General features: G+C 38.3%; 1 protein-coding gene across 5 annotated transcripts in view; it reads right to left on the bottom strand.

The window, feature by feature from the left end:
• Positions 1 to 839: 839 nt before the first annotated feature.
• Positions 840 to 11,928, bottom strand: part of GLS (glutaminase) — an 84,732-nt gene continuing 73,643 nt past the window's right edge. For 4 of the 5 annotated variants that reach the window (NM_014905.5, XM_047443957.1, XM_047443958.1 and 1 more), the window contains 3 exons: positions 11,732 to 11,808; positions 11,574 to 11,637; positions 840 to 3,562 (listed from right to left, as the gene is read on the bottom strand). In NM_014905.5, coding sequence (NP_055720.3) covers positions 3,406 to 3,562; positions 11,574 to 11,637; positions 11,732 to 11,808 — 298 coding nt within the window. In that variant the 3' untranslated portion in view covers positions 840 to 3,405. The remainder of the gene's footprint in view (positions 3,563 to 11,573; positions 11,638 to 11,731; positions 11,809 to 11,928) is intronic. The other variant, NM_001437282.1, reaches the window with a different exon arrangement.

Below are 11,928 nucleotides of genomic sequence, written 5' to 3'. Positions count from 1 at the left end.
AAGCTAATATGTATATTCTATCCATACTGGGCATAATCAGTGTTGTAGGACGTAGAACAACAGCGCAGGACTAAGAGTTCTGTATCACAGCCCACTCTTGGGTCTCAGCTTCATCTATAAAAGAAGAGTGAGTTAGATTAGAGAATTTCTGATGTCTCTTCTAATCATTGTGGTAACCCCACTTGTCACCTTGCATAGTACCTGGCTCATCACAGTTCTACAATGCCAGTAATGCAGTGACTCTTCTAGCAAAGTAACTTACTTTGTGACAGATAACTTTGATAAATGAAAATGTAACAGTCATGGTGTTCATGTACTTTCTCTATGGTTGGAAAACTATACACTAACCCCTGGCCTGAAAGGAAAGAGTGCTCTGAAGACCAGGGATTTCTGGCATTGGAAGCGAATGCTATTCCCACGCAGAATAAATTAGGAGCTGAGGTGTACTGGCTGGTGACACTCAGATTCTAGTGTGGCAGTACTAGCTTCAACTCTCTAAATAAATTTCAAGGCTTTGTGAAAATAACCTCTCTTCTCATTCAAGGGTATGTTTACTGGTTCCATTCAACAAATATTTACTGAGCACTTCCTAACTGTAAAAGGATAGTGTTTGCATCTAGAGGACTAGAGACATGCCTGCACATCCCTCACCTTCAAAGGTGAACTCTACACAGGATTCTTGTCCTAGTCATTGTGGCAACCCCATCTGACACCTTGTGTAGTACCTAGCTTTATAGCAGGCATTAGAAATGGATTGGAACCTAACCAGAGATGGTCTGTATGCTCAGTGGAGTTCCTGGCTCTTAATTGTTTTAAGAAAATTCATTTTTTCCACACAGTTTTTTTTTTGATACATATATTTATTATGCTGTAAAAAGCAACACTACCTGATTGCATTTAAAATAAATGTTTCCCAATTTCAGAATACTTACAACTTGTAGTTTTAAGATTAGATTCACTTTGGGAGGTTTTAGAAGCAAATACATTCATAGCTGTGTAATCCCCAGGAAGAATCTAAATCTGACATCAGGTCATTCAGTCCCTGCCAGACAGACAACAGCATCAAATGGTCAACAGCTAATCCAGCTCTGCAGCTAAAGGGCAGTGTCGGGCAGCAGTGGGGTATAGCATATTACCAAAGATGAGACCAGCAAAAACAACAATGTGTATAAAGCTTTAAATTAACATGATCATATAGAGCGCTCAGGATACAGAAAAAGCACATATGATACTAAAGCCAAAACAAAAAGATCTTTGGAGTTTACTGACGGCAGCAGTTAATAGCACAGTCAACAGCATTTAAATCAAATATATTATTACCAGCCAACAGCAAACAGCCCGAGCAGGAATCGGCACATAGTCATAAATAACATCAGGGGTAAATAACGGCACATTTAATTAAACAACAAAGATTTTACAGAATGGTTTTGATCTGAAAAAAGATGAAAACTCTCTTTGTTCCCAAATAATGGTTAGAACCTCTTTTTATTATAGAAAAGCCTCAAAATCATTGGTAATCTTCAAGTCACACAATTCAACTGTCTTGTTTCATTTTAGTCACACAAAGCGGGCTGCTCTTTGAATAAAGTTATCTTGATTGATTTCAGTTAAAACGTGTCTACCCTGTAATATCTTTGGGGATAATGCTGCTCCTGTGCAGCATCTTACAAATGCTACCTGTCTCCATGGCTTGCTAGATCCACGGGGTAGGAAACTGCTCACTCAGCATCCTCCCCATGGAAGCTCAAGCATGGGAACAGCTTCGGGCCTGGTGCAGCTAAGGAACATTGGCCGTGGTTTCACCAAAGGAGGTGCCATCTAGGTAATGGGAGGGCAGTGGCAGGAGCCACTGGCTTAGACTGGAAGTGAAAATGAAAGCACCTGGAGGCTGCTGGAGTAAGGTGCCATCAGGCATGTAAAGTTTAGAAGCAGCAGAGTGTGCTCATAGAAAAAGAAAAAAAAAGGAATTTGCTGTATGTGATAACAACTAACATTCATGTACTTGAGCTCATTTCACTAAACACAGCTTCAGAGAAGTCCATTTGTGTGCATGTGTGTGTGTGCTTAATATCAGAACTCCTCACTAACATGCCACTTTATCTCGAGGTATGACAGGATAAAATGTATGTGTAACTCCTAGAAAATCCTGTTCTATCCGTTTTTTGAAGCCCCTTTTACCCACTTTCCAAATGAATCCTGAATTACCAACCCAAGACAAAGAATTATAGGTCACAATTTAAAATGAAATGGCCTTTTTCTTATTATTAAACTACAGAGCCCACCAAGAATTACACAATAGAAAAATCACAAGAAATCTGGAATGATCCAGTGGTCCCCCAAGGAGGACAAATCTCTTGATGCAGACTCTTAATGACAGGCTTGGAAACAAATGTTTGTTAGTTGTAGCAGTTCCCATACTTTCAGAATAACTTTGGTAGCTTAGAGCATTTCTGAATTTATCTTTACCCTAGAAGCTAAAAAAAAAAAACTTCTTAAAGAGCTGCAGTTGCACATCCCTTCGTTTTTTAGACTGATAAACTTGACTAATTTATACTTAGTAATTTTGTCTCTGGTTCGTCTTCTGTAGACAAATGGCAAAGTTCTGATGCCAGAAATAGGAGGCATTTTCTGACTTACTATGGAAAACATAAAAACTGCATAGTATGCCAGCTCTCACTTTCCCAGCTAAAGGAAAGAGGCAGATAGCTAAATGTCTGAGAAGAGAGGCTGGACTAAGGGGATATAGAAAAAGGAAAATTTTTCAAAAGCATTATAACTACATTCACACATACGTTTTGGTCACCAAACATATCTTAAACAGATTCCCTGATAAAGTCTAATCAGAATTGGTCTATCTTACTAACAGTTGTTAACTATTATAGTTTTTTAAGAGTCACATCATGAAGCTAGGGGGTGAGAGAGACATTTTAAACACACAACCGTAAGTGCATATAGTTGTTCAAACACTTAAACTAAATTTGTATTTGAAGTCTTGAAAATCACACTATTTGCTTCTAAAGGCAACCTTGACCCATTTGGACAGACTGTACAACAGAGCTTACTTTATAAATGCATATCAGCAGATCATCACCATAAATTGAAAATTCACAAAACACAAATAAATCATGGAAGACCACACAAGCTAGCATTGGTAACTATTTCTTTTACATCAAATTATACAATGCACGAGGTAATATTGCTCACATTATGGAGGGAGATTGTTTTATTTCTATTTTTTCCCAAAGAGATCAGATTTGTCCTGTGTGCACAATGAAGAAAACTCCAGTAACACTGAAATGACAAATGTAAAATATACATCACTACCAGATAGAAATACACATGTTCTTCATAATCATTTTCCACAATTAAATAGGTAAGTGATTTAAATCTTGGGATTTGAGACCATTACAACAATCCATCAAGATTCTTATGGACGGTTTGATTTTCCTTCCCGTTGTCAGAATCTCCTTGAGGTGTGTACTGGACTTGGTATTCTTGGAGAATTTTAAATACATCATGGTGTCCAAAGTGCAGTGCTTCATCCATGGGAGTGTTATTCCACCTAAACACGTAGCACAGCATGGACAGGGTCATTAGGTAATTTATGTACAAAGATGATCACCCCACATTCCTAGATTTTAAATGCAGGTTAAATGGCCAAATTTAGCTATTTTAGCAATTTTACAAATAAAAATTAATAATAGAAATGCAGAAAGGGATTTATAATTCAAAAAGTAGTCTCCAAGACAAGTTGGGATATGGAGAGGAAGAGAAAAAGATCTGTGAAAGGATCTTGTTTACACATCCAAGTGCTTATGGAGGGAGCTTTTTAAGGAAAGTCCTTGTGGTGACAGATATAATAGACTGCTCTAGGGTTCCAGAATTTTAGTTTCATGAAAAGCCCAAAGTATCTCTTTTAAAATAAAATGTTCAAAGAAAATTCAGGCATATAACATCCATCACTCTAGCCTTTGACAGAAAATTAGTGTTTGTGTCAATTCAAAGCCACAGTAAGTCTCAGAAGTCTAGAAATAACCATGACCTCATTAGGGCTAAAACACACTGGAGGAGCAAGATTGGCCCCAAAGGAATTGACATTTTTATCACCTCTGGTAAGGCTGGGAAGCCATGGACTCAATCGGACCACTACACCAGAAGAGTAACTCCCCTTTCCATACTAATAACTCCCCTTTCCATGCTTCTGGGGCTGTGCTGTTTAGAGTGATGTAGATGAATATTCAAGGATAAGAAGAAATGAAGAGTTGCCAGAAGTGGTTAATCACTTGCCAGAAGTGGTAAGTCTTTTGCAAGAGGAGACAGAACTACATAACTCACAGCCCTAGTCAATGACAGGGTACGATGGGTAGTTCCCTTACACTTTACAAACTGTGAAGCCTGTCTTCCTACCCAATCTCTCTCTCTACTTACATTACAAAATTCTCCATGGCTGATGATCTCTCTTTCTTCATCCATGTGCCACTGGCACCACCTTCCTAGTTTCACTTCTTCCTGTTTCCTTCTTTCCTTTCCATCTCTGTCCTGAACTTTTTACCCGCTTAGTGGAGTCACAATATGGAAACGAAAGGTTTTTAAAACAGTCTCATTTTTTAATATATTTGGATAAATTTTGGTAGCCTGTTTTTAAAATCAGGTAAGTAAAACTTTACATGTATCTTTGTATTTATCAAAAAAAAAAAAAAAACAGCTGAATTAAGTGACTTTGAATAGGCCTTCATTAGTTTAGGAAGTCAGTGGCTTGAAACAGACTTTTGAGTCATCCTCTACAGTATGTAATTATCTGTCTTTCTGGAAAAATGGAATGTCAACTGCGTGTTACCTTTTTTACAATTCTTCTGTGAATTAATGAAAAATATGAACTTTAAAGAATACACTAATTTCAGCCAGATACAGTGATGCCTGTAATCCTATCACTTTGGGAGGCCAAGGTGGGTGCACCACTTGAGGCCAGGAGTTCAAGACCAGAATGACCAACATGGCGAAACCCCTCTCTACTAAAAATACAAAAATTAGCTGGGCGTGGTGGAACACACCTGTAATCCCAGCTACTCAGGTGGCTGAGGCAGGAGAATTGCCTGAACCTGGGAGGCAGAGGTTGCAGTGAACGAGATCACGCCACTGCACTCCAGCCTGGGCAACAGAGCAAGACTCTATCTCAAGAATTCACGAATTCTGTGCAAACCTATTATAATTTAAGGTGACACTGATTCTATGAAATAGAGAAAAAGACTTGTTGAATGCCTAGTTATCAAGTTAGTTACTTAGCTCACTTTTTCTTATCAGGTGGGTACATCTACTTTCACATTCCTAGAGGCCAATTTAGGGCAAAAAAAATTAATACATATACAAAGCACAGTAATATTTCCAACATGTATTACATAGTGTTTTAGTTGGGATTATAAACACAGGAGGAAAATGCTCTTCAATTTTTTGCTTTAGAAACCTGGGGTGGGTATTAAAATTTGGGGAAAGGGAAGAAGACTGTCAACCTAACATGAGGTTTTAGAATACTGCCAATAAAGGAGTTTTTAATCATAGTGCTTTTTTACAACTATAGGAATAAAGTTAGATAACCAAAGTGTTAGCAAACTTACAAAATTGCTAACATTTGTCAGACACTGACATAACTTTTCTGCATTTCTTGCAAGCTAACAGCTGAACCAACAAAACCCAAGCCCTAATTTTAAAAAAGATAGTTGGCCAGGCTCAATGGCTCACACCTGTAATCCCAACACTTTGGGAGGCTGAGATGGGAGGACCGCTTGAGCCCAGGAGTTGGAGACCAGCTTGGGCAACATAGTAAGATTCTGCCTCTACAAAAAATAAAAAATAAATAAATAAATTAGCCAGGCATGGTGGTGTTTGCCTGTGATTGCAGCTACTCAGGAGGTTGAGGTGGGAGGATCGCTTGAGCCTGGGAAGTTAAGGCTGCAGTGAACTATGATCATGCCACTTGCACTTCAGCCTGAGTGGCAAGGCAAGACCCAGTCTCAAAAAAAAAAAAAAAAAAAAAATTGAAGCTTAATAAACAGAAACACAATACAGCTAAAGAGTAATCAACTTGCTCCAAACTTAATACAGCTCCCAGTTCTCAAATGAATCCAAACTCCTAATACATATCAAACCACCATCAAGTATGCGTTTTTTTCCCATTCTAAACTTTTATTCTCATTACTCATTGACTCATATACTCTACTCCAGTACATAATGTCCAAGGATATGAATCTAGAGTTTACTGTACATGTATATGTGTAAGCTGCATTCTTATCCCTTCCCTGACCACTTTGTTGACATCATTTGTTGCAGGATGAATAGCAGTTTGCTATGTCGACCAGGAGAGAGAGGAGAGGAGCAGAATATATTCTAGGCATATTTTTCCCACTATAGATAGAATGCCCTTCTTTTCATTCTGTGCCTTCAGTCTCGTCTCTTCCCTAAAGCACTGATTAAAATTTAACTTCATGAAGCCTTCTGAAACTGATTCCAACCAAATGCAGAAATTTCAACAAACTCCAATATATTCATTTTAGAGTTAACAGTTTTCTTATACATTTTAGCTTGTTTAGAAGCCTTCCCATTTTGTATGTCTCAATATTGTGAGCAAGTTTGTATGCTGATAAAATTCACATTATTATTAAAAACAACATCAGGCTGCATAAATGTCGAATCCCTGCCAGCAATCACTGTCCTCACCAATCACTGGCTTCTTTGCAAATCCTAAGAGAGAACATTCAGTGTTAATTATCATCTTAAAGTTTATGCTTCTCTAAAGGTTTGTCTTGTCTACCCTGGGTTGTTAAAAACTCCACGAGGGGTAACCAGCAACTGCAAAAACATACAAAATTGTAAAGACCATTGACACTATGAAGAAACTGCATCAACTGAAGGACAAAATAACCAGCTAGCATCATAATGACAGGATCAAATTCACACATAACAATATTAACCTTAAATGTAAATGGGCTAAAAGCCCCAATTAAAAGACACAGAATGGCAAATTGGATAGAGTCAAGACCCATTGGTCTGCTGTATTCAGGAGATCCATCTCACGTGCAAAGACACACATAGGCTCAAAATAAAAGGATAGGGGAATATTTACCAAGCAAATGGAAAGCAAAAAAAAAAAAAAAGCAGGGGTTGCAATGCTAGTCTCTGATAAAACAGACTTTAAACCGACAAAGATCAAAAGAGAAAAGGGCATTACATAATGGTAAAGGGATCAATGCAACAAGAAGAGCTAACTATCCTAAATATATATGCACCCAATACAGGAGCACCCAGATTCATAAAGCAAGTTCTTAGAGACCTACAAAGAGACTCAGACTCCCACACAATAATAGTGGGAGACTTTAACACCCCACTGTCAATATTAGACAGATCAACGAGACAGAAAATTAACAAGGATATTCAGGACTTGAACTCAGCTCTGGACCAAGCAGACCTAATAGACATCTACAGAACTCTCCACCCCAAGTCAATAGAATATACATTTTTCTCAGCACCACATCGCACTTATTCTAAAATTGGCCAACCACATAATTGGAAGTAAAACACTCCTCAGCAAATGCAAAAGAACAAAAATCATAACAGTTTTTCAGACCACAGTGCAATCAAATTAGAACTCAGGATTAACAAACTCACTCAAAACTGTACAACTGCATGGAAACTGAACAACCTGCTCCTGAATGACTACTGGGTAAATAACAAAATTAAAGCAGAAATAAATAAGTTCTTTGAAACTAATAAGACAAAAGACAAAACGTACCAGAATCTCTGGGACACAGCTAAAGCAGTGTTTAGAAGGAAATTTATAGTACTAAATGCCCACAAGAGTAAGCAGGAAAGGTCTAAAATTGACACCCTAACATCACAATTAAAACAGCTAGAGAAACAAGAGCAAACAAATTCAAAAGCCAGCAGAAGACAGGAATTAACTAAGAGCAGAACTGAAGGAGACAGAGACATGAAAAACCTTTCAAAAAATCAATGAATCCAGGAGCTGGTTTTTTGAAAACATCAACAAAATAGACCACTAGCAAGACTAATAAGAAGAGAAGAATCAAATAGGTGCAATAAAAAATGATAAAGGGGATATCACCACTGATCCCACAGAAATACAAACTACCATCAGAGAATACTATAAACACCTCTATGCAAATAAACTAGAAAATCTAGAAGAAATTGATAAATTCCTGGACACATACACCCTCCCAAGTCTAAACCAGGAAGAAGTCAAATCCCTGAATAGACCGATAACAAGTTCTGAAATTGAGGCAGTAATTAATAGCCTCTGAAATTGAGGCAGTAATTAATAGCCTACCAACCGAAAAAAGTCTAGGACCAGACGGATTCACAGCCAAATTCTACCAGAGGTACAAAGAGGAGCTGGTACCATTCCTTCTGAATCTATTCCAAACAATAGAAAAAGAAGGAATCCTCCCTAACTCATTTTATGAGGCCAGCATCATCTTGATACCAAAACCTGGCAGAGACACAACAAAAAAAGAAAATTTCAGGCCAGTATCCCTGATGAATATTGATGCGAAAATCCTCAATAAACTACTGGCAAACTGAATCCAGCAGCACATCAAAAAGCTTATCCACCACGATCAAGTCGGCTTCATCCCTGGGATGCAAGGCTGGTTCAACATATGCAAATCGATACACGTAATCCATCACATAAACAGAACCAATGACAAAAACCACAATTATCTCAATAGATGCAGAAAAGGCCTTTGACAAAATCCAACACACCTTCATGCTAAAAACTCTCAATAAACTAGGTATTGATGGAATGTATCTCAAAATAATAAGAGCTATTTATGACAAACCCACAGCCAATATCATACTGAATGGGCAAAAAACTGGAAGCATTCCCTTTGAAAATTGGCACAAGACAAGGATGCCCTCTGTGACCACTCCTATTCAACATAGTATTGGCAGTTCTGGCTAGGACAATCAGGCAAGGGAAAGAAATAAAGGGGCTGGGCACAGTGGCTCATGCCTGTAATCCCAGCACTTTGGGAGGCCAAGGCAGGCAGATTACCTGAGGTCAGGAGTTCGAGAGCAGCCTGGCCAACATGGTGAAACCCCATCTCTACTAAAAATACAAAAATTAGCTGGCTGTGGTGGGCACACGCCTGTAATCCCAGCTACTCGGGAGGCTGAGGCAGGAGAATTGCTTGAGCCTGGGAGACAGAGGTTGCAGTGAGCTGAGGTCTTGCCACTGCACTCCAGCCTGGCTGACAGAGCGAGACTCTTGTCTCAGAAAAGAAAGAAAGAAAGGTATTCAAATAGGAAGAGAGGAAGTCAAATTGTCTCTGTTTGCAGATGACATGATTGTATATTTACAAAACCCCATCATCTCGGCCCAAAATCTCCTTAAGCTGATAAGCAACTTCAGCAAAGTCTCAAGATACAAAATCAATGTGCAAAAATCACAGGCATTCCTATACACCAATAATAGACAAAGAGAGAGCCAAATCATGAGTGAACTCCCATTCACAACTGCTACAAAGAGAATAAAATACCTAGGAATTCAACTTACAAGGGATGTGAAGGACCTCTTCAAGGAGAACTACAAACCACTGCTGAAGGAAATAAAGAGAGGACACAAACAAATGGAAAAACATTCCATGCTCGTGGCTAGAAAGAATCAATATCATGAAAATGGCCATACAACCCAAAGTAATTTATAGGTTCTATGCTATCCCCATAAAGCTACCATTGACTTTCTTCACAGAATTAGAAAAAAAATACCTTAAATTTCATATATAACCAAAAAAGAGCCCACATAGCCAAGACGATCCTAAGCAAAAAGAAGAAAGCTGGAGGCATCACGCTACCTGACTTCAAACTATACTACAAGGCTACAGTAATCAAAACAGTATGGTACTGATACCAAAATAGATACACAGAGCAATGGAAAAGAACTGAGGCCTCAGAAATAACAGCACACATCTACAACCATCTGATCTTTGACAAACCTGACAAAAACAAGCAATGGGGAAAGGTATTGGGAAAACTGGCTAGCCATATGCAGAAAACTGAACCTGGACCCCTTCCTTTCACCTTATACAAAAATTAACTCAAGATGGATTAAAGACTTAAACATAAGACCTAAAACCATAAAAACCCTAGAAGAAAACCTAGGCAATACCATTCAGGACATAGGCATGGGCAAAGACTTCATGACCAAAACACCAAAAGCAATGGCAACAAAAGCCAAAATTGATAAATGGGATCTAATTAAACTAAAGAGCTTCTGCACAGCAAAAGAAACTATCATCAGGGCGAACAGGCAACCTACAGAATGGGAGAAAATTTTTGCGATCTATCCATCTGACAAAGGGCTAATATCCAGAATCTACAAGGAAGTTAAGCAAATTTACAACAACAAAAAAACCCCATCAAAAAGTGGGTGAAGGATGTGAACAGACACTTCTCAAAAGAAGACATTTATGCAGCCAACAAACATGTGAAAAAAATATCATCATCACTGGTCATTAGAGAAATGCAAATCAAAACCACAATGAGATACCATCTCACACCAGTTAGAATGGCGATCACTAAAAAGGAAACAATAGATGCTGGAGAGGATGTGGAGAAATAGGAACGCTTTTACACTGTTAGTGGGAGTGTAAATTAGTTCAACCATTGTGGAAGACAGTGTGGTGATTCCTCAAGGATCTAGAACCAGAAATACCATTTGATCCAGCAATCCCATTACTGGGTATATACCCAAAAGATTATAAATCATTCTACTATAAAGACACATGCACATGTATGTTTATTGTGGCACTGTTCACAATAGAAAAGACTTGGAACTAACCCAAATGACCATCGATAATAGACTGGATAAAGAAAATGTGGCACATATACACCATGGAATACTATGCAATCATAAAAAAGGATGAGTTCATGTCCTTTGCAGGGACATGGGTGAAGCTGGAAACCATCATTCTCAGCAAACTAACACAAGAACAGAAAACCAAACACTTCATGTTCTCCCTCGTAAGTGGGAGTGGAACAGTGAGAACACATGGACACAGGGAGGGGAACATCACACACCAGGGCCTGTTTGGGGGTCAGGGTAAGGGAGGGATCGCATTAGAAGAAATACCTAATGTAGATGATGGGTTGATGGGTGCAGCAAACCACCATGGCACTTATATACCCATGTAACAAACCTGCATGTTCTGCACATGTATCCCAGAACTTAAAGTGTAATTTAAAAATTTTTTTTTTAAAATCCATGAGGATAAAATTCCAATTCTTTCTTCCCAAATGCAAAAAAAAAATTGTTTTGTTCATACAGTGTATTGACTAATGGTCAAATCAACCTGAAAATTTCTAAATAAGACACCATTCTTAGATAAGAAACAGGATATGGGAGACAGAATTACCTATCTAGTAGAAACAAGGTTTATTGCCTTTATAAGATATCATAGCAGGTTCAAGAATGTCTTAGTAGGTTGAAATATTATCATCACTTGAATATTACAGTCCTGCATAATAAAATACTGACATATTTAGAAGGTAACATAAGTGCTCACCTGTCCTTGGGGAAAGGGTTTACTTTGCAGGCTTCCAGCAAAAATTTAACAACTTCAACATGACCTATACCGTCCCACCCCCAAAAAAAGAGCAGATTTTAGTACTAAGTAGAAATTAAATCTGGAAAGAAAATAGATAGGAGTAGTTCCTGTATTACCCTCTGCAGCAGCTACATGGAGTGCTGTTCTAGAATCATAGTCCCGCTGTTCCATGTCCATAGCTGACAAAGCAAATCTGAAAATGTGTAAGCACAGCTATTTATTATATATAAAGCAAATTTAATTCACACTGGTAACATTCACTCCATCAGTTCATTTAAGGCCCTGTCAGGTGCCATCCTTCATCAAGCTCATT

Source organism: Homo sapiens, chromosome 2 (assembly GCF_000001405.40).
Source record: "Homo sapiens chromosome 2, GRCh38.p14 Primary Assembly".
Lineage (NCBI taxonomy): Eukaryota > Metazoa > Chordata > Mammalia > Primates > Hominidae > Homo > Homo sapiens.
The sequence above is the reverse complement of the archived record's forward strand: the minus strand, read 5'-3'. Positions and strand labels throughout refer to the sequence as shown.